Below are 23,574 nucleotides of genomic sequence, written 5' to 3'. Positions count from 1 at the left end.
GGCATTACAGGCATGCACCACCATGCCTGGCTAATTTTTGTATTTTTAGTAGAGATGAGGTTTCACCATGTTGGCCAGGCTTGTTTTGAACTCCTGACCTCAAGTGATCTGCCCACCTTGGCCTCCCAAAGTGCTGGGATTACAAGTATGAGCCATTGCACCCAGCCTATCTCCTAAATACCTTTTGCATTGGTGCGTCTTCTCTATCTCCACTGCCACAGCCCCTTTCTGCTTCTCATCACATCTCTCCTGCCATGACAATAATCTCTCAGTTGGCCTCCCAGACTCCAGTCTGCGCTGCTTAAAATCCATTCCTCAATGCTCATCAACACACCTAATGGAAAACTATAGAGCAACGAAAATGAACAATGTACAGCCAGGCATGGTGGCTCATACCTGTAATCCTAGTGCTTTGGGAGGCCAAGGTGGGAAGATCGCTTGAAGCCAGAAATTTGAGACCAGGCTGGGCAAAACAGCAAGACCCCATCTCTATGAAAAATTTATAAATTAGCCCAGTGTGGTGGCACGCACCTGTACTCCCAGCTACTTGTGAGGTTGAGGCAGGAGGATCACTTGAGCCCAGGAGGTAGAGGTTGCAGTGAGCTGTAATCATGCTGCAATCCAGGCTGGATGACATAGTGAGACTCTGTTTCTAAAAGAAAAAGAAAAGAAAAAAACAAATATGACTGCTCACAACATGGATGTTAGGTAAAAGAAGCTGCATTCAAAAGAATACATTCCATATGATTGCATTCCTGCAAAACCGGAAAATGCAGAAGCCCTATCTGTATTGTTAGAAGTTGGGTCAGCGGTTGCCCTTGCAGAGAAGGTGTAACTGAAAGGGAACTTGCGGAGGGCTTGGCAGCTGGCAGCATTATGTTTCTTGATCTGAGTGCTAATTATGTGTATATGTTCAGTTTAAAGGAAGTTCACCAAGCTGCATGCTTAGGATATATGCAGTTTTCTGTGTGCGTGTTGTATACTTTGCTAAAAAGGAAAGAAAAGTGTTTCCTATGCTGAATTTCAAATTATCTTTCTAAAATGAAAATCCAGTTACATCAGGCCCCTGCTGAAAACCTTTGCATGGCTCTCAAACATACACAGGGCATTTTAACCTGGCATTTATGGCCCAGCACGGTCTAGTTCTTGTCTGCCTTTTCAATCCCTGCCTCCTACAGTCCCTTATGTGAATCCTGTGCTCCAGTCCTGATGCTCTGCACACATCCATTTCCCCCAAACTATCCATCACCTCTCATGCCTCTGTGCCTTTGCATGTGCTGTTCCCTCTGCCTGACTTGCCTTTACCACCTCGTTTGCTTTGCAAACTTATATTCATCCTTCAAAACCCAGCTTAGAAATGACCTTTTGTGAAAAGCTATCCCTAAACCCCCAGAGGAACCTACTTACAGAGACTGGTCCTCTGAGCACTGATCCCGCTGTGTTGTGGTGACCTCCTCCAGCAGGCTGGATACTCCCTCAACACAAGCACTGCATCTTGTCTTTGTGGCGCCTGTGTGCCCGACGGGGCTGTACAGAGCAAGAATTTAGTAAAGGTTTGTTGAATAAATGAATGGGTGAATGAGTGAATGAATAGGGGCCAGGTTATAGATAGTGGGTGGCCCATTTGGGCTTAGAAACCTGGATCTGACTCCTGAAGCTGTGATCTCCTCTGACCCACCTGGGTTGAACTGTATTTTAAGTCATCCCTGCTCCCTGCTCCTGTTTCTTGGTGCCCTGGGATTTCTGGCAGCCACCAGCCAGCAATTTTTGTGAAGCAATCTCCAAAGCTTGTAGGTTTCATTTGTTTAATATTTCAGGGATGTGTAACAATGTGGTTGGCTCCATGGTCACACTCTTGAGTCTTGCGTGAGTCATTTCTCACTTCAGTTCCTATAATAGTCTCTTGTTCGTTCCCTCAACCTCTCTGTTCTCCGCCTGAAATCGATTTACAATTCTGCTGCTCACTTAATTTATTTAGTGCTTTTTATTGATTTATGTCATAGAACTGAAACGTGCATAGATCAGAGCATGCTGAGCAGAGAGGGGAGCCCCTCTCCACAGCTGCTTCCACAGCTGCCCAAACTGACATCTGAGCTAAAAACAGGTCAACCTACTGGCTGCAGCCGGAATACGCCAGGTGGCTAGAGCATCTTTTTGCCTGAGAGTTAATCAATGCTCTTTACACCCCTGGCTGTCTGGGGAACCCTCCATCAACCTTCATGAGCCAACCCAAAGGTCCTGCCTCCACAAAGCCCTCCTTCATCCCCAGACTGCATCAATTACTCTCACTCGATGCTCCCGAGGGACTGGGTACCTCCTGGTGGTCCAGGGCCCAGAAACATGGAAGCTGTGATTCTTTCCATTTCAAAGAGACAGACATTTCAAGACACAGAAAGGCAGGATACTGGTCACACTCCATTACTCCTTCTCACCTACCATTCCCAGATAGTATGGAGATAATACTCCCAGCCCTGCGACCCAGGTTGGGAACTGTCCACCATCTGAATGGCCCTGCTCCATCGTGGAGCTCTAGAATCTTCCTATGATGCCTGGCCATTGTCAGTCAACTCACAGCAGAGGCTGGCTCACCTGATGCCAGTTAATTCTCGGAGGCAGGGCAGACTGCAACCTCGCTTTCAGGAGTGGGCTGCAGTAACCTTCGTCCATCTTGCCTTGGGCCAGTCGTCAGTATCCCTTGATGCCAGGGTGTGTGTCAGGAAATAAGGCAGGGAGGAGAACCATCCCTAACCTCGCTCTGTTCTTGAAGAGCTCATCTTCTAGTGGGAAGGCAGATGAGGGGATCCAGACTCACAATCCGTGAGGGGAGACAGAGGGCTGCGGTGTGATGGCAGTCTAGGAAGATTGAGTGGAGGAGCGCCATGTTGGAAGCATCTCGAAGACAGAATGCAATTCCTTCTCGTGCATGAGGGGTGTCAGAGGAAGTCCCAGTAGAATGAACAGCCTGTGCAAAAGGCGACACTGAGTATCTCAGTGCTGGGAACCTGGCAGGTGCTCAGTGGACATAGCTAAGTGACTGAAGGGTGGAAGGAAGGGAGAGCCCAGAGAGGTCAACTGCCTTGCTCAAGGTCACACAGCAGGTTTAGGTCAGAGTCAGGCTCAGCCTCTAGGCTTCCGAGGTTTTCAAGCCTACCCTGCTACCCACCCTTCCTTCTCAGCCATCCCTCGAGACGCATTTGCTTGAGAAACACACCTGGCCCTCCCACCTCCTTAATTCTGAAGTGCTGGTTCTGCCACTTTCTTTTCTGAATTTCTGGATTCCTCTAATTATGTGCTCTTATTAAAGGTGATTAAATCCCTAAGCCTGGTGGAAGATTGCTCCTGGAGATCACAACATCTAATAATTGCTTTAGTTGCTCTAATTCCAATTATTCAAGATTATCTTTCCAGGTAATTAGGTATTTGGGCAGTCTTGCCTGCTCACTCTTCCACAGAGCATCATATTAACCCCAAACGGTGACCAGCCTTCATGTTTTGTAATTGGAAACAGTTTCTCCATGGCAAATAGACTCTGTTAAGGGTAAACAGCAGTAATTTAAATTTCTAAATGGCTCTGTGGTCTTAGCATGCTTTGCTATGAGAAATGATAATATAACTCGAAGGCTCACAATTTGTACTGATCTATGATGGCGTAGGGTTGGGCAGTGAACATCCTGTATGAGGGGCCCAGGGATTCACAGATAGGGTTAAAAAAGACAACATCATCATACATGTCTATACTTGCACCTCATTGCTAAACCACACTGCCTGTGTTATGCTGGAAATCTGGGACACTATTTTGTCATGTTTCCTTTTTGTTTGTTTGTTTGTTTGTTTGTTTTGAGACGGAGTCTCACTCTGTCGCCCAGGCTGGAATGCAGTGGCGCAATCTCGGCTCACCGCAAGCTCTGCCTCCCGGGTTCATGCCATTTGCCTGTCTCAGCCTCCCGAGTAGCTGGGACTACAGGCGCCCACCACCGCAACCAGCTAATTTTTTGTATTTTTAGTAGAGACGGGGTTTCATCGTGTTAGCCAGGATGGTCTCGATCTCCTGACCTCGTGATCCGCCCGCCTCGGCCTCCCAAATTGCTGGGATTACAGGCGTGAGCCACTGCGCCGGCCTGTCATGTTTCCTTTTTATTTTTTAGAGATGGGGTCTCACTCTATCGTCCAGGCTGGAGTGCGGTGGTGCAATCGTAGCTCACTGTAACCTCGAACTTCTGGGCCCAAGCAATCCTCCCGCCTCAGCCTCCCAAGTAGCTGGGACTATAGGCTTGCGCCACCACACTTGGTTACTGTCTTGAGAAATTCTTAATAATCTTTCAACGAAGGGCTGTTCATTTTCATTTCACGCTGCCTTCCCAATTTCGGCCGTGTGCCATACCCGCCTCCCATACCACTGCTCATTTACTATTTCTGTTCACATTCATTCACTGAAAAAGTCTAATTATTTTAGTCTCATCCTGAGCAGTAATATCTGTCAACTCATAGTTTTAGTATGCCAGTTTATTTTTTCAAGATGCTTTCAAATTAATAATAATAATGATGATAGAGTAGTGGCGGTGGCTCATGCCTGTAATCCAGCACTTTGGGAGGCCAAGGTGGGAGGATTGCTTGAGCCCCGGAGTTAGAGACCAGCCTTGGCAGCATAACAAGACCCCTGTCTCTAAAAAAATAAAAAATTAGCTGCGCATGGTGGCACGTGCCTGTAGTCCCAGCTACTCGGAAGGCTGAGGTGGGAGGATCACTTGAGCCTGGGAGGTAGAGGCTGTAGTGAGCCATGATTGAGCCACCACATTCCAGTCTGGGTAACAGAATGAGATCTTTTCTCAAAATAATAATAATAATAATAATAATAGATCAGGTGCGGTGGTTCACACCTGTAATCCCAGCACTTTGGGAGGCCGAGGCAGGCGGATCACGAGGTCAGGAGATTGAGACCATCCTGGCTAACACGATGAAACCCCGTCTCTACTAAAAATACAAAAAATTAGCCGGGTGCGGTGGCGGGCGCCTGTAGTCCCAGCTACTCGGGAGGCTGAGACAGGCGAATGGCGTGAACCTGGGAGGTGAAGCTTGCAATGAGCCAAGATTGAGCCATTGCACTCCAGCCTGGGCAACAGAGCGAGACTCCATCTCAAAAAAAAAAAAAAAAAAGAAGAAGAAGAAGTTCAAGACCAGCCTGGCCAACATGGTGGAATCACGTCTCTACTAAAAATACAAAAATTAGCTGGGCGTGGTGGTGGGTGCCTGTAATCCCAGCCACTTGGGAGGCCAAGGCAGGAGAATCATTTGAACTTGGGAAGTGGAGGTTGAAGTGAGCCAGTATCACGCCACTGCACTCCAGCCTGGACAACAGAGCGAGACCCTGCCTCAAAGTAATAAGAATAAGAATAAGAATAAGAATACCAAAACCTTATTTCTGTTTTAGCAACATGCCAGGCCCACTTGATTCCCCAACAACTTGAAGAGGTTGTACTGCTGTTACACTAGGTTATGGATGGGGAAACTGAGGCCCAGGTAGTTTACATCATCTTTCCCAACCAAGATCATGTGCGTTTTAAGTGGCAGAGGTGGCTCTGAACCTGGGTAGGGGCTGCAGAGTCCTAGCCTTTGCCATTTTACTTCCTGTCCCCAGGTGAACTAATAAAATAGAAAAGACTGCCCCAGCAAGGGGGGTAAGGAGTGAAATCCAGTGAAAGGAAAGGGCGAGGTAAGTGTCGGCCAGGTAGGGCTGGGGAGGAATCTTTATTCCTCCCCTTTGGCCGTCACACCATGGGGGTGACACTTGTGATTCTCTGAGGCCCTCCAGCCTCAGGCACCTCCTTCTGCTTTCTTCTTCTTGTGCTTCTAGTTCCAGGAAAATAGTCTGACCCTTGTGCATGGAATGTCAGAGTGCAAAGGGCTCCGAGAGCCGGTCCCACTTGCTCCATTTAACAGATGAGGAAATTGAGGCCCAGAGATAGAACTCTTTGTGGCTGCCATGGACTGAGCATATGAAGTATGCCTCCTGCATACCGGTCCTTAAGAAATAGGGTCCTGTCTCTGGGGCAACTTCCCTTAGCCCGACCCTGACATATACAGTAAGCACTCACTGAGTATACTCATCCCTTTCATGCATGTTATCACACAACCCACAGAGAACTTTTCTTTTTCTTTCTTTCTTTTTCTTTCTTTCTTTCTTTCTTTCTTTCTTTCTTTCTTTCTTTCTTTCTTTCTTTCTTTCCTTCATTCTTTCTTTCTTTTTCTTTCTTTCCTTCTTTCTTTCTCTTTCTTTCTTTCTTCCTTTCTTTCTCTTCTCCCTCCCTTTCTTCCTTCTTCTTTCCTTCCTTCCTTCTCTTTCTTTCTTTCTTTCTTTCTTTCTTTCTTTCTTTCTTTCTTTTTCTTTCTTTCTTTCTCTCCTCCTCCTCCTTCTTCTTCTTTCTTCTCCTTTTTTCAGATCAGGAAGCTGTGCTCAGAGAGGTTAAGAAACATTAGCCAGGCGTAGTGGTACATACCTGTAGTCCTAGCTACTCGGGAGGCTGAGGCAGGAGGATGGCTTGAGCCAGGGAGGTCGAGACTGCAGTGAGCTGTGATTGCACCACTGCACTCCAGCCTGAGTGACAGAGCAAGACTCTGTCTCAAAACAAAACAAAACAAAAACAAAACTTGCTCCAGGTCAGTAGCAGGGCTTGGATTTAGATGCAGGGCTTTGAGAGCCGGGCTCTGGGTTCAGATTCCAGCTCTGGCTCTCTAGTGGTGGGGCCTCAGGCGTGCTGTTGATCCTTTTAGTGACTTCATGTCTTCATCTGTAAAATAGGGATAACAGCGTCCACTTTGTGGGATTCTTCTGAGAATCAAGTGGGATGATCCATGTGAGGAGTTAGCACAACGTCTGGCTCAAACTCCAGCTTGAATATCCTGTCGGATTTCCCCCATCTCTTCAGTGTGGCCCAGCCAGCTGGAAGGCTAACTTGGAATAACTCAGTTTGCGTTTATTTCTACTCAGCTAAAACATTCAACTAAGCTTTATAGAATAACGCACAGAATTCCATTCACAGCCTGATACTCTCATACCCCTTGCTTCATTTAATTCTTTCTTTCTTTCTTTCTTTCTTTCTTTCTTTCTTTTCTTTCTTTCTTTCTTTCTTTCTTTCTCTCTCTCTCTCTCTCTCTCTCTCTCTCTCTCTCTCTCTCTCTCTCTCTCTTTCTTTCTTTCTTTCTTTCTTTCTTTCTTTTTTTTGAGACAGAGTCTTGCTCTGTGGCCCAGGCTGGAGTGCAATGGCACAGTTTCGGCTCACTGCAACCTCTGTCTCCTGGGCTCAAGCGATTCTTTTGCCTCAGCCTCCTGAGTAGCTGGGATTACAGGTGCCCGCCACCACACCCGGCTAATTTTTGTATTTTTAGTAGAGGCAGGGTTTCGCCATGTTGCCCAGGCTGGTCTCGAATTCCTGACCTCAAGTGATCTGCCCACCTTGGCCTCCCAAAGTGCTGGGATTACAGGCATGAGCCACCGCGACTGACCTCATTTAGTTCTTTCGACAGCTCTTTGGGTTAGGTACTGTGATCTCTGCTTTACACCAGAGTGGCCGGGCAGCTGACTCAGAGAAGTTGAGCCACTTGCCTGAGGTCACACAGCAAAGTGACGTATCCCGTCAGTCCTGTGCTATTTCAGCCACACCTCATGGGCCTTTTCACCCTGCCTGGTGCCTCCTGGTTCCTCTTCCACTGCTCAGGCCCAGGAATTTCTTTGGTCTGCTTTGCTGTGTGTTCTGACCTGGCGGGGAGGCCCCTTGGCTCACAGCTGTCAGGGCCTGCGTGGAGCAGGAGGGAGGCAGCAGCTGAGGGGACCCGAGTTACCCTCTGCTCATCAGGCATCCCATCTGCTGGCTCCTGTGGCCTCATCATTTGCAGCCATCTGTCAGGCTCCCTGGAGATGCTGCAAAGCCTGAGATGTAACACAGAACCTCCAAATGTGCCACCTTCAGCCTGCACGGGGAGCAGAGAGGCCCATGCCCCTGAGACCCCTACCTACGCCTTGAAGCCACCAGGAACTGGAAACTCAGGAGAGAGGTCCTTTCAGAGGAACTGTTCCCAGAGGGCTGGAGCCCCCTCTCCCATTGGCTGCCCGGCAATTGGCTCCGCAGAACCGGCTGGGGTTTACTTTGCTCAGGCGTCTGCTTGAAATTTCATTTTGGATTTAAAAAGTCCTCTGTCTCTTGGCGGGGATGCCCTGGCCCCTGCTTGTCTGCAGAATCTCTGGCCTCCTGGGCTTCCGATCTTCCGCTCGCGTTTGCCAAAGGCAGAGAAAGGGTCCCATGTGGGACTGGGGGCTTCTGGAGCAGGGGGAGGGGCTAGTGATTTCTCCAAAGCCGGTTTCTGTCTGGTTGATCTTGTCACACATGCCTCTCCCTGGCCCATCTCTGGCGGTGAGGGCAGAGGTTGTCAGTTTTATTCATTAGTTTTACATTAAAGAAATTTCTGATAGCAGCTTTTTTGAGATGTAATTCACTTCCATTCAATTTGCCTGTTTAAAGTGTATAATTCAGTGGTTTTTAGTGTATTCAGAGTTGTGCAATCATCACTATCAATTTTAGAGCACTTTCATCAACCTGAAAAGGAACCCCATTTACTTGAGCACTTACCCCTCAATCCTCCCACCTCCAAGAGACGGAGGCAAACACTGATCTATTTTTTTTTTTTTTTTTTTTGAGACAGGGTCTCCCTCTGTCACCCAGGCTGGACTGCAGTGGCACAATCATAACTCACTCCAGCCTCCACCTCCTGGGCTCAAGTGCTCCTCCCAGCTCAGCCTCCCGAGTATCTGAGACTACAGGTACACGCCACGATGCCCGTCTAATTTTGTTTTATTTTTTGTAGAGATGAGGTCTCACTGTGTTGCCCAGGTCGGTCTTGAATTTCTGGACTCAAGTGATCCTCTTGCCTGGGACTCCTAGAGTGCTAGGATTACAGGTGTGAGCCACCATACCTGGCCCTGATCTACTTTCTATCTCTATAGATTTGCTAATTATAGGCACATAAAAACGAAGGCATAGAATATGTGGACTTTTGTGACTGGCTTCTTTCTCTTTAGCATAATGTTTGCAAGGTTCATTCATAATGTGGTGGGTGTCAGTACTTCACGTCTTCCTTTTTTTTTTTTTTTGAGGCAGAGTCTCACTCTGTCACCCAGGCTGGAGTGCAGTGGCGTGATCTCGGCTCACTGCAACCTCCACCTCCTGGGTTCAAGCAATTCTCCTGCCTCAGCCTCCCGAGTAGCTGGGATTATGGGTACATGCCACCACACCCAGCTAATTTTTTTGTTTTTAGTAGAGACAGGGTTTTGCCGTGTTGGCCAGGCTGGTCTCAAACTCCTGACCTCAGGTGATCTTCCCGCCTCGGCCTCCCAAAGTGCTGGGATTACAGGAGTAAGCCACCACACCCGGCCCATTCCTTCCTTTTTATTGCAAAATAATATTGCATTGTATGGGTAGACTACATTTTCTTGATCTATTCATGATTTATTTATTTATTTTTAAAACCTTTTTAAAATTGGGAAATTAGTACAATGCAGCAAGGTGCATAACATATACATATATAGCCTGACAAATTATTGTAAGGCAAAAACTTTATTACAGCTAAGGTTAAGAAATGGGTCATTGTCAGACTCCCAGAAGCCCCTGTAACCCTTCCTGGCCACTACCAAATCCCTTTCCCCAGGGGAGGGTCATCACTGCCTTGCTTCACTTTCTAACAAGGGTTGCCAAACTATGGCCTGTTGTGTTTTTTTGTAAATAAAGTTTTATCAGAACACAGCAACTCCCACTCCTTTACGTATGGTCTATGGCTGAGACCATCTGTCTTGCACAACATAAAATATTTACTGTCTGTCCCTTTATAGAAAATATTAGCTGGCTGGGCATGGTGGCTTACACCTGTAATCCTAGCACTTTGGGAGGCAAAGACGGATGGAGGATTGAGGCCAGGAGTTTGAGACCATCCTGGCCAACATGACAAAACCCTGTCTCTACTAAAAATGCAAAAAATTAGCTGGGTGTGGTGGTGCACACCTGTAGTTCCAGCTACTTGAGAGGCTGAGGCATAAGAATAGCTTGAACCCTGGAGGCAGAGGTTGCAGTGAGTCGAGATTGCACCATTCCACTTCAGTCTGGGTGACACAGCAAGACTCTGCCTCAAAAAAAAAAAAAAAAAAAAAAAAAAGAAACAAAGAAAAAGAAAATGTTAGCTGATCTCACCTTGTGGTTTTACCAAGTATATAGATTTATTTGTTTTCGAATTTTTTGCCTAAATGTGATCAGTGTACTTTTTTGTGTCTGGTTTCTTCTGCTTGACATTATGTTGATCATGTAACTGTAGTTTATTTCTTTTCATTGTTATGTAATATTCTGCTGTATTGCTACACCACCTTCTATTTGTTCATTCTATTCTTAATGGATATTTGGGTCATTTTCAGTTTTTATTAGGAACAATGCCACTGGTTCTTCAAGTGTGATTCTCAAACTGGTGGAATCAGCATCACCTGGGAGCTTGTTAGAAATGCAAATTTTGGCTGGGTGCAGTGACTCATGCCTGTAATCCCAGCACTTTGGGAGGCCAAGACAGGAGGATCACTTGAGGCCAGGAGTTCGAGGCTGTAGTGAGCTATGATCATGCCAGTGCACTCTAGCCTGGGTGACAGAGTGAGACCCTGTCTCAAAAACAAACAAACAAACAAACAAACAAAACCACTCTGCAAATTCTCAAGTCCCACTACGGACCTCCTGAACTAGAAGCAGTGGACCCTGCAATTCGTGTTCCATAAGCCCTGTGGGTGATTTTCATGCATACTCCAGTCTGAGAACCACTGGTTTCGCATCTACCCAGATGTGGAATTCCTGGGTTGACTTAGTGTATCTTCAACATTATTAAGTTTTCTATCCCATTTTGCAAAGTGTGTGTACCAGTTTACACCCCCACTAGTGGGCTATGAAAATTCCCATCTCTCTATCCTTGACAATACTTGGCATTCATCAGATTTATAAATTTTGCCAATCTGGTGGGTGAGAAATGGTATCACATTGTGATTTCCAATTTACGTTTCCCTGATTACTAATGAGGTTGAACATCTTTTTGTGTTTATGGCTATTTGGAACTTCTCTTGCATGAAGTGCCTGTTTGCATCTTTTGCCACGGTTTCTATTAGATTGTCTTTTTCTTACCGATTTATAGGAGTCTTTTTTACACACGATAATCTTTGTTGCTTGTATATGTTGCAAATACCTTTTCCCACTCTGTGGCTTGCCTTTTCTCAGATGTCTTTTAAGAAGTTCTCATTTTTGGCCAGGTGCGGTGGCTCACGTCTATAATCCTAGCACTTTGGGAGGCCAAGGCAAGTGGATCACCTGAGGTCAGGAGTTTGAGACCAACCTGGCCAACATGGTGAAACTCCATCTCTACCAAAAATATAAAAATTAGCTGGATGTGGTGGCCAGCACCTGTAGTCCCAGCTACTTGGGAGGCTGAGGTGGGAGTATCACTTGAACCCGGGAGGCAGAGGTTGCCGTGAGCCGAGATTGTGCCACTGCACTCTAGCCTGGGGAATAGAGCAAGACTCAGTCTCAAAAAAAAAAAAAAAAAAAAGAAGAAGTTTTAATTTTTTTTATTATGGTAAAATATATAACATAAAATTTACCATTTTAACCATTTTTAAGTGTACAGTTCAGTGGCATTAAATACATCCACATTCTCTGCAACCATCATCACCATTTACCTCCAGAACTTTTTCATCTTCCCAAACTGAAACTCTGTAGTCATTAAGCACTCACTTCCCATCTGCCTCTCCTTCCAGCCTCTGGCAATCACCATTCTACTTCCTATCTCTATGAATTTGACTACTTTGGGTACCTCATCTAAGTGGAATCACCAGTATTTGCGTGTCTGGTTTATTTCATGAAACATAATGTCTTCAAGGTTCATTTCTGGTGCAGCACGTGTGAGAATTCCATTTCTTCCTAAGGCTAATATGCCATCGCATGGATGTAACACACCTGGTTTATCCATTTGTCTGTTGAGGGACAGGTGGGTCCCTTGGCTGTTGGCTGTTGTGTGTTGTGAAGATACACTAACATGCTCTATGCCCCAGGCTGGAGTGCAGTGGCACAATCTTGGCTCACGGCAACCTCTGCCTCCCGGGGTTCAAGTGATTCTCCTGCCTCAGCCTCCTGAGTAGCTGGGATTATAGGCACCTGCCACCATGCCGAGCTAATTTTTTGTATTTTTAGTAGAGACGGGGTTTAGCCATGTTGGCCAGGCTGTTCTTGAACTCCTGAACTCAGGTGATCCACCCGCCTTGATCTCCTAAAGTGTTGGGATTACAGGCATGAACCACTGCGCCCAGCCCATTGTGTCATTCTTATGCCTTTGCAACCTCATAGCTTAGTCTTTTGCCCATTTTTGAATCACAGTGTTTGTTTTTTTGTTGGTGGTAAGTTACAGGAGGAGTCTTTATATATTCTGGATATTAACACCTTATCAGATATCTCTGATTCGCAGATATTTTTTCTCCTTGCATGGGTTGCCTTTTCACTGTCTTGATATTATCCTTTGATGCAGAAGTTTTAATTTTGATGTTGTTCAGTTTATCTATTTTTTCCTTTGATGCCTGTGCTTTTGGTTTTATACCCAAGGAACTGTTGCCAAATCCAATGTCATGAAGTTTTCCTCCTGTTTTCTACTAAGAGTTTTATTGTTTTAGCTCTTCTGTTTAGGTCTCTGATCCATATTGAGTTAATTTTTATAGATGGTTTAAGGTAAATATCCAAAGAAATACTTAATTTTAAAGCAGCTAAATTTATCCATCCTTCTCTTTAGGATTAATGCTTTCTTTGGCCTATTTATTTTTTATTTTTATTTTATTTTATTTTATTTTATTATTATTATACTTTAAGTTTTAGGGTACATGCGCACAATGTGCAGGTTAGTTACATCTGCATACATGTGCCATGCTGGTGTGCTGCACCCATCAACTCGTCATTTAGCATTAGGTATATCTCCTAATGCTATCCCTCCCCACTCCCCCCACCCCACAACAGTCCCCAGAGTGTGATGTTCCTCTTCCTGTGTCCATGTGTTCTCGTTGTTCAATTCCCACCTATGAGTGAGAATATGCGGTGTTTGGTTTTTTGTTCTTGCGATAGTTTACTGAGAATGATGGTTTCCAATTTCATCCATGTCCCTACAAAGGACATGAACTCATCATTTTTTATGGCTGCATAGTATTCCATGGTGTATATGTGTCACATTTTCTTAATCCAGTCTATTATTGTTGGACATTTGAGTTGGTTCCAAGTCTTTGCTATTGTGAATAGTGCCGCAATAAACATACGTGTGCATGTGTCTTTATAGCAGCATGATTTATAGTCCTTTGGGTATATACCCAGTAATGGGATGGCTGGGTCAAATGGTATTTCTAGTTCTAGATCCCTGAGGAATCGCCACACTGACTTCCACAATGGTTGAACTGGTTTACAGTCCCACCAACAGTGTAAAAGTGTTCCTATTTCTCCACATCCTCTCCAGAACCTGTTGTTTCCTGACTTTTTAATGATTGCCATTCTAACTGGTGTGAGATGGTATCTCACTGTGGTTTTGATTTGCATTTCTCTGATGGCCAGTGATGATGAGCATTTTTTCATGTGTTTTTTGGCTGCATAAATGTCTTCTTTTGAGAAGTGTCTGTTCGTATCCTTGCCCGCTTTTTGATGGGGTTGTTTGTTTTTTTCTCTGGCCTATTTAAAAAGTCTTTCCCAGCCAGGCACGATGGCTTATGCCTGTAATCCCGGCACTTTGGGAGGCCAAGGCAGGAGGATCATTTGAGCCCAGGAGCTCGAGACCAGCCCAGGCAACATAGCCAGGTCTTGTCTCTACTAAAAGTTAAAACAACAACAACAATAAAAAAAATTAGCCTGGCATGGTGGCATGCATGAGGGAAAGAAAACAAATTTTGGTGATGCATGAAGTCTCTGTCATATTCTCTGACATCCCTTCCTCGGTCCCCCAGGCCAGGGGAACTTTCGTATGGCATATGGGGAGAGTGGGGAGAGGTGGCAGCCTGGACTTTCATCTCTTCTTCTAAATATATTACATACAGTGAAAACCGTGGCTTTTGAACTTAAAAGCCCAGACTCTTGTAACTCAGAAGTCCTGTTCTGGTGGCCTGAGCTGCCTCTCTGCTGACCAGTGTGTCATTCTGTCATACAGCAACAGTTACATGTGGGGAAAGACACATTCATGGAAGGGCATGGGAAAAGCTCAGTTCAGGTCTCAAGGTTCATCCCACTGTAGTTAACTTGAGAATTTGGGGGCTGGCCTGGTGCCTCATGCCTGGAATCCCAGTGCTTTGGGAAGCCGAGGCAGGAGGATCACTTGAGTCCAGGAGTTTGAGACCAGCCTGGGCAACATAGTGAAACTCCACCTCTACACAAAATAATGTATTTTAAAAAAGCTGGGTGTGGTGGTGCGTGCCTGTGGTCCTAGCTACTCTGGAGGCTAAGGCAAAAGGATGGCTTGAGCTCAGGAGGTCGTGGCTGTAGTGAACTATGATCACACCACTGCACTCCAGCCTGGGTGACGGAGCGAAACCCTGTCTCAAAAAGAAAAAAAAAAATTCAGCTGGAATGTTTGCTACCCTTGAGCTCACAAACTCTAGTTTCTTTCTTTTTTTGCAGTTGGAATGTCATTATGTGCTTTCAAGTGCTGGGTTCCCCGTTAGTTCCCCAGAGTCCCCACTGCACAGCAATGAAGCATCCATCCATCCTCACGGAGGGTCCCAATGCCACAGTCCATGTTTGTTCATGTTGGGAGGCTGGAACACATTCAGAAGGCTCAGAACCTTGGCTCCATTTGGACTTTGGCTCTGCCTTGCCAGTACTTGGGCTGCTCTTTGTGGTTTAAGTGATCCTCTTTCTTGCCAGAGGAGTCTGAAACAAAGCAGAATCAGGGACGTTCTGCTCACTTCCTACCACCATGCTTTCAGAATCTTACCTTTGGCTCCAAGCAGCCCATCCATCCTCACCTTCTTACTCTTGTCCTGAACATAACAGAAGAGCTCTTTTCTGCTCTTCCTAGAGGTTTTTGCCAGCTCAGTCCCTCGCGGTGGGCACTTGCCCGTCCTGACAATAACCTGATGACCTTCGCTGCTCTGATGTTCACTCTGACCTGCTGCCTGGACAGCTTTTGGAAATCTCCTTCTCCAGCAGGGCATCTGCTCCTGTGGCTCTCAAGGCTCCAGCCAGTGTTTCCAGGGACATTTGTCTCAATGGGAACCTTTGGGCAGCCTAGAATTTTGAACAGTTGAGAAGCCAGCGGTCTTTCTCTCTGCTCCTCTGCCTTTTTTTTTTTTTTAATGGAGTCTCGCTCTGTCATCCAGGCTGGAGTGCAGTGGTGTGATCTCGGCTCACTGCAACCCAACCTCCATCTCCAGGTTCAAGTGATTCTCCCGCCTCTGCCTCCCAAGTAGCTGGGACTACAGGTGCCCCAACCTAATAATAAACCAAACAATGGTGCACTCCCCATCCCCCACCCATATTAGTGGTGCCAATCATTGCCTCCCCAGCTACACTCCCTTATTAATGAAACTGACCACAGCCCCAAGGGGCGCCTCTCTGCATGGTGCAACCCTACCCCTCGCCTCAGCTCACTGGACCTGAGCTGGACCCGGCTCCAACTGGACCAATCAGAATCTCTCTCTTTGGATTTTTTTTGAAAAGGAGACCTAGAGATTTCATTGACTGTGGGGTGACCAGGTGCACTGCTGAGCTAGGAGGTGGGGCAGACAACCATGGGGCCATGGTCATCATGTGGGTGTCGCCACAACAAAAGAATGAAACGGATGTGTAGAGGCGTCAAGGGAAGACCCCTGGTAATCAGAGACAGAGAGGGAGTCCCCATCTCATGTTCTAAGTCTGCTCTTCGAACACCTCCTGGGCCCAGGACAGTCCCCTGTGGCCTCTCAGAACTTCCTTTGGAGTTAAGCTAGTTTGAGTGGGATGTGGTCCTTGAAGCCAATTTTTCTTCTTTTCTAAAACCCCCACCAGCCGCCAACTCAACGATGGTGCCAAGGACTTAGGAAGTGCTCCCCAGTCATCGCCCTGGTCTGTCTTACTTGGAGAGTGACCTAGAGGTGAAAGATTGCTGATTGGCAGATGCCCTGTCAGCAAGGGAGATGGTCCTTCGAGAGGGCAGAAGGGGCCAGGCGTGGTGGCTCATGCCTATAGTCCCAGCACCTTGGGAGGCCAAGGCAGACAGATCACCCGAGGTCAGGAGTTCAAGACCTGCCTGGCCAACATGGTGAAACCCTGTCTGTACTAAAAAATACAAAATTAGCTGGGCATGGTGGTGGGCACCTGTAATCCCAGCTACTTGGGAGGCTGAGGCGGGAGAATCACTTGAACCTGGAGATGGAGGTTGGGTTGCAGTGAGCCGAGATCACACCACTGCACTCCAGCCTGGATGACAGAGCGAGACTCCATTAAAAAAAAAAAGGCAGAAGAGCAGAGAGAAAGACCGCTGGCTTCTCAACAGTTCAAAATTCTAGGCTGCCCAAAGGTTCCCATTGAGACAAATGTCCCTGGAAACACTGGCTGGAGCCTTGAGAGCCACAGGAGCAGACGCCCTGCTGGAGAAGGAGATTTCCAAAAGCTGTCCAGGCAGCAGGTCAGAGTGAACATCAGAGCAGCGAAGGTCATCAGGTTATTGTCAGGACGGGCAAGTGCCCACCGCGAGGGACTGAGCTGGCAAAAACCTCTAGGAAGAGCAGAAAAGAGCTCTTCTGTTATGTTCAGGACAAGAGTAAGTAGGTGAGGATGCATGGGCTGCCTCAATGACTTTCCTGCCCTGGACGTTTATTTTGAATTAAATGAGCTGGAGGGTAGTGTTGGCGGGGAGTGGCCCTTGCAAATGGAACTAATGACCTGCATGCATTGAGTAATTGCAGTTTTGTCATTGCTTTCAGTGGCAAACACTGCAATTACTTTTGTACCAATGTAGTAGAAAGAGGATGACTTTGAGCCAGAGGAACCAAAGATCTGGTTCAAATCCAGGCTCTGATTTGCAAGTTGGGCATCTACGTCTGTTTGTGTTGCTGTAAAGGAATACCTGTGTCTGGGTAATTTGCAATGAATAGAGGCTTATTTGGCTCATGGTTCTGCAGGCTGTACGAGAAGCCTGCATCTGCTTCTGGTGAGGGCCTCAGGCTGCTTCCACTCATGGAGGAAAGCAAAGGAGAGCTGCTGTGTGCAGAGGTCACATGCAAGAGAGGAGGCAAGAGACGGAGGGAGGTGCCGGGCTCTTTTCAACAACCAGCTCCTGCAGAAACGAATAGAGTGAGAACTCACTTCCACCCTCGTCCCACACAAGGGAGGGCATTGATCTATTCATGAGGAGTCCTCCCCCATGACCCAAACACCTTCCATTAGGCTCCATCTCTAACAGCAGAGATCAAATTTCAACCTGAGATCTGGAGGGGGTCACATAAACCAAACTATAGCACCCAGTGACCTTATAAAGTGAAAGCCTCAGTCCCCTTCCTTGTAAAGTGGGCAGGATGGTCTGCCGATAAGGATGCTGTGAGTCTGACCACTTCCTTGTTCTTTCCTTGTGCGACTGTGATTGACCTGGGCATGGAAAGGCTTAGTGCCCTGAAAGGCAGGCTGGGTGAAGGTCTGGCAGGGTCCTGAAGGGTGGGGGTGATTCCCTGGGTCCTGGGATGAAGGGGTCTTAGATTTTGGTGTAGTTGTCCTGTAGATCCCAGAGCTGGACCTGACCTCACTTGAGATACGGATCGGGTTGCTAGGCAAGGGTTCACCAGGCAGCATCATCTGTGATGCATCCTGCAGGCTGAGCAGTGAAGGTAGGAAAAGGCATTCTAGATGGGAGGAACAGCACATGCAATTTCAAGGAGGAGGATGGATGCTTGTGTCCGGTTCTGTCTACAGCAGCTAATGGCTGTTGCTGGCACACTGAGGACCAGGGAGCAGGAGGGGCCAGGCGGGAGGGCTTAGCAGGGCTGGGTTGCAACACACCTGAAATGTCACCTTGAGGAACTTGGGCTACCTCTTGGAAGCCACTTGCAAGACAATGGAATCACAGGTGGCACGATCTGATTTGAACTCCAAAAACTGATTCACAGCTGCCTTGAGGCAGAGGGGTGGCATGGCTGTGAAGCAGCCCTGCCCAGATCTTGGGGAGAGCCTCAGCATGGCCTGAGAGGCAGGACTTCTTCACGTCTGTCTCTAGCGTATAGCCGAGAGCCTAACGCTAAGTGGTCATTTAAGATTTTGACTTAATATCCCCAAAATGCAAGGTGTCAAGAGCCCCAAGTCAGACCCTGCATCATAGACACCACTTGGCATCAGAAATAAAAACGCAAGCAGAGCCCTCATTGTTGACTCTGAAGCCCCCCATTCCCCCATCAGGATGGGACTAGCTCAGGAAGGCTGGCCGGGCTGTGGCAGCTCTCAGAGGCCTGGGGACCCACAGGGACCTCTCTCAGCAGCCATTCCAGGGCAGGTGGGAGCTGTTTGCTGATGGGATTAGGGGCTCCCCTGCTCACTGTTTTTGACGCTGCTCCCCATAATGGGCTCCATCCGAGTCTCACCTCAATGTCCTCGCCTTGGAGAAACCTCCCTGGACCGTGCTGTCTAAAATAAACACCTTCTCAAGTCACCTTGCTTTGTCCCTCCTGCAAATCCCCGAAATGATCTCGTTTTATGCGTTCACATGTTTTCTGTCTTGTTCTCTTCACAAGACCTTGAACTCCACAAGGGCACTGCCTTGCCTGTCTTGTTCAATGCCAAATCCCCACATGGTGCTTGGCATCCAGTAGGTGCCCAGAAAATATGTGAGCTACATTCCAGAGCCTGCTCTGAGCCAGGTGTTATGCATAGATCAGCTCATGGTCTCATTGGATCCTCCCAACAGCCCCAGGAAATAGGTGCCACTTTGGTCCTCATTTTTCAGATGGGTAAACTGAGGTTCAGAGAGGCTAAGCATGTGACACCCTCGCACAACCGCGAAATGACAGAGCCAGAATTTGAACCCAGGGCCGCTGCACGCTGGAGCCACAGCTCTCCCATGGTGCCATGCTCCTCTGGGTCTCTTCAACTTCTCCACTCTCTCTTCCGTATTCTCCTTTCCTTGGAAATGAAATTCATAGCTCACTTTTGTTTTTATTTTATTTTATTTATTTATTTTTTGAGACAGAGTCTCACTCTGTCACCCAGGCTGGAGTGCAATGGCGCAATCTAGACTCACTGCAACCTCCGCCTCCCAGGTTCAAGCGATTCTCCTACCTTAACCTCCCAAATAGCTGAGATTACAGGCACCTGCCATCATGCCTGGCTAATTTTTGTAGAGATGGGGTTTTGCCATGTTGGCCAGGCTGGTCTCGAACTCCTGACCTCAGGTGATCCTCCCACCTTGGCCTCCTGAAGTGCTGGGATTACAGGCGTGAGCCACCACGCCTGGCCCATAGCTCGCTTTTAAAGCCTTCCCTCCTTTCTTGCACCTCAATGACTTTCCTGCCCTGTACATTTATTTTGAATTAAATGAGCTGGAGGGTAGTAGTGTTGGCGGGGAGTGGCCCTTGCAAATGGAACTAATGACCTGCGTGCTGGGGAAGGTTGTTCTGCCCCGCCCTGCCTTCTCTGCTGCAAAGCACCTCTGCTGTCTCATGATTTCCTGTGGAGTTCTCATCAACGCCTCTTTAAGACTCAAATGGACAAATAAACTGGCTGAGAGAGTGAGGAAGATTTAATTGAGTTCAACTCCAAGCCCTTCATCCTCCCCGTGGAGGGTGGCAGGGTTCAAAATAGGGACTTTGGCTACCAGCAGATCGAGGGTTGAATGCAGGGCCCAGCCCTGAGCAGCTACGGGACCTCAGGCCTGTTTCCGAACCTCTCTTGGACTTCAAGGAAAAGGTGACATTGGAAGACCCCTCTGGAATTTGAGTTTTGCATTTTGAGAAGATAGTGGCAAATTTTCTTCCAGAAGGGAGGTTCTGGGGTTCTGAGGGTCAAAGAAGTCTTCAGACTTTTTATCTTAGTCATTGGCTCAACACACTTTTTTTTTTTTTTTTTTTTTGTGACAAAGTCTTGCTCTGTCACCCAGGCTGGAGTGCAGTAGTATGATCATAGCTCACTGTAACCTAGAACTCCTGGACTCAAGCAATCCTCCTGCCTTAGCCTCCTGAGTAGTGGAGAATACAGACATGAGCCACTGCTCCTGGCTAACTTTTAAATTTTTTATAGAGATGGGGGTTTTGCCATGTTGCCCTGGCTGGTCTCAAAACTCCTGGCCCCAAGCAAACCCCCTACCTCAGCTTCTCAAAGTGCTGGGATTCCAGGTGTGAGCAACCACACTTGGCCTTCACAAATATTTATTGAACACCAACTCTGTACCTCCCCAGTATGATTTCTAGGGCCCTGCCCTCATGGACTTGTTTCTGGTGAGACAGAAACTCGGGAGAAGAGAGTGAGCTGAGAGTGCTGCTCAGGTCAAGGCTATGGTCCTGAATGGTCCATACCAGTCTCCAGTTGATTGAATAATGGGTTATTCTTTTCTCCATTCCCCTCCCTTCCATACTGGCAACCATCCAATTCTGTCTGAAGTATTTCTGCTTGTATGTGTTTTTACAAAGGTGCCCCCTTTTGCATGTATTTTAAATTCATATGAATAGTATGTGTATTAGTCAGCTATTCCTGCAGTAAGGCTGTGTAACAAATCACCCCACCACTCAGCAAGTGGCTTCCATAACCAAGCATTATTTTTCTTGCTTGTGAGTCTGCAGGTTGGGCGGGTTACCTTGGGTCCAGGCTGAGGGTTGTGTTCAGGTCTTCTTGCTGGACACATCTCCTGTCACACTGGGGCCAGCACCAGGGGATATTCTTATGGCAGCGGTGGAAATGCAACAGGGGTGAGCCATGATCTGGGATACTGTGTAAGCCCTGGCTGGGTGATGGCACATGGTCACCTCTGCCCCTATGTCACTGGACAAAGCAAGTCACATGTTCAGGCCCAAAGTTAGTAGGATGGGTGATATGGTTTGGATTTGTGTCCCCACCCAAATCTATAATCCCCAATGCTGAAGGTGGGGCCTGCTGCAGATGACTGGATCATGGGGGTGGATTTCTCATGAATGGTTTAACACCATCCCCACTTGGTGCTGTCATGGCGATAGTGAGTTCTAGTGAGATCCGGTTGTGTGGCATCTCCTACCTTTCTCTCTTCCTCCTGCTGCCACCATGCGAATTGCTGATTTCCCCTTTGCCTTTTGCTATGATTGTAAGTTTCCTGAGGCCTCCCCAGAAGCCAAGCAGATGTCAGCATCATGCTTTCTGTACAGCCTGCAGAACAGTGAGCCAATGAAACCTCTGTTCTGGCCAGGCTAAGTGGCTCACACCTATAATCCCAACACTTAGGGAGGCTGAGGCAGGTGAATCACTTGAGGTCAGGAGTTCAAGACCAGCCTGGCCAACATGGTGAAACCCCATCTCTACTAAAAATACAAAAATTAGCCAGGTGTGGTGGTGCATGCCTGTAATCCCAGCTACTTGGGAGGCCGAGGTATGAGAATTACTTGAACCCAGGAGACAGAGGCTGCAGTGAGCCGAGATCATGCCACTGCACTCCAGCCTGGGTGACAGAACAAGACTCTTTCTTCATAAATTACCCAGTCTCAGGTATTTCTTTATAGCAGTACGAGAATGGACTGAAACAGTGGGGAAGACTGTTCCCCAAGAAGGACGGCTGTGAATGTCTGCTGAACAGTAATGCAGTTGATCTCAGTTTGTGCTATAGATCTCATTCTGTTTCTTCAGTTTTCATGCACTCTGTTTGAGATTATCCATGTGGCTGTGTCTATACCTAACCCAACACCCGCCTGATTCTCCACACTGCGCTCCTCCTGTGCCTGTCTGTTCTCTTAGTGATAGACAACGAGCTTGTTTCCAAATCCTTGTCACCACAAAGGAAGCTGCAGAGAACATCCTCAGGCCTGTCCTCCTAAGGACCTGTGTGCATCCTAAGGACCTGTGTCCTCCTAAGGACCAAGGATCCACTTGGAGTGTGCATCCAGGTGCAGGCTGATGGAGTCACAGCGTAGATTACGTTGAATTTGCACTGCTTAAAGTTCCCATATCCTGACCAACACTGGGCATTCTCCAGCTTTCTACTGTTTGCCTATCTAATCAGTATAAAGCATAAAACGACATCTCATTGCCTCAACATGCATTTCCCTGATGAGGAGTGCCTCTGAGTATCTCTTCAAGGGCTCTTCTGGTTTGAGTTTTTGCTCCTAGAAACAACTTCTGCCCATTCTATACTCTGTGCTTGCCATGAGGAGAAAGGCCAGTGGGGCTGGGATGGAGGCAGCGGCATGAAGCCAGCCGTTTGAGCACGGTGGGCTTGAGATCAGAGCGGGATGTCCACAGGCATGGGCAGGAGATTGCAGCCGGGAAGCTGTCCAGCCTCCTCTACTTTGTTCCAGGCATTAATTATTTAACCTTCATTAGCAGCTCTGAGATGGGAAATTTGTTGTCCCTTTGATTGGCCCCACGAAGAGCCCGAGTGAAGAAGCAGATGTCAAATGATTTGCTTTATTATAAATGACCTGGAGAGATACCTGGCAAAGTCATCACCAAGTTCTTTCTCAAGTTGCTCTGCAGCTCAAGAAAAGAGCTGGCCAGGCACGGTGGCTCACACCTATAATCCCAGCAGTTTGGGAGGCCGAGGCGGAAGAATCACTTGAGCCCAGGAGTTCAAGACCAGGCTCTTGCTGTGAGCCTGGGCAACATAACAAGGCCCCATCTCTATAAAAAACAATAGCAACAACAACAAAAAATTAGCCAGGCATGTGGTGCATGTCTGTAGTCTCCACTACTAGGGAGGCTGAGGTGGGAGGATTGCTTGAGCCCAGGAGTTTGAGACTGCAGTGAGCTATGATTGTGCCACTGCACTCCAGCCTGGATGACAGAATAAGACCCTGTCTCTTTAAAAAAAGAAAGAAAAGAGCATTTGTGAATGACATCCTTTAAGGACCTACTATATGCTCAGGACCTCCTAAATGCTGTATTCTCAGGGACAATGTCTACCTTGAGATGCTAATTGGACTTACCTGACTGCTTACTTCTGAGCATTGAATCCATTCCTTCCATCAGTGCACATTTCTTGAGCACCTACTATGTGCCAGGCACTGTACAAGGCCCCCAAAATACAGCAGTGAAGAAAAGAAAAGCAATCCTGTCTTCCTGGAGCTTACATCCCAGTGGGAGGAATCAGACCACAAATAAATGTGTGACCTGTGGAGCGTGTTAGATGGTGTTAAGTGGTGACAAGGAAAATAAAGCAGGGAGGGTTGCAATTGTGAAGAGAACAGTCTAGGGGGGCCTCGCTGGGATGGTGTCACTTCAGTGAAGACCCCCAGGAGGTGAGGGGGCTGGCCATGTGGGGCCAGTGAGGCATCACAGGAAAAACGATGAGAACAGCACCTAGTAGGCACTCTGTAAAACTATTGTGGTTTCTCAATGAGGAAGTGAAGGCGTT

The 23,574-nt window shown here is 47.4% G+C and overlaps 1 protein-coding gene across 5 annotated transcripts in view, besides 1 other annotated feature; it reads left to right on the top strand.

Annotated features, from left to right (window-relative positions):
- The window catches only part of GSG1L (GSG1 like), a 276,187-nt gene that overhangs the window by 109,951 nt on the left and 142,662 nt on the right, over positions 1-23,574 (top strand). The window lies entirely within an intron of this gene.
- Positions 4,164-4,334: a silencer, noted in NCBI's record as "fragment chr16:27960751-27960921 (GRCh37/hg19 assembly coordinates)". NCBI's record gives its function as "represses an EF-1alpha promoter that drives an FKBP-Casp9 reporter gene in an ReSE screen in HepG2 liver carcinoma cells {active_cell/tissue: HepG2}" and the evidence as "EXISTENCE:reporter gene assay evidence [ECO:0000049][PMID:32094911]".

The sequence above is a fragment of the Homo sapiens genome, chromosome 16 (assembly GCF_000001405.40).
Source record: "Homo sapiens chromosome 16, GRCh38.p14 Primary Assembly".
Lineage (NCBI taxonomy): Eukaryota > Metazoa > Chordata > Mammalia > Primates > Hominidae > Homo > Homo sapiens.
This window is presented reverse-complemented; position numbering and strand designations above follow the sequence as displayed.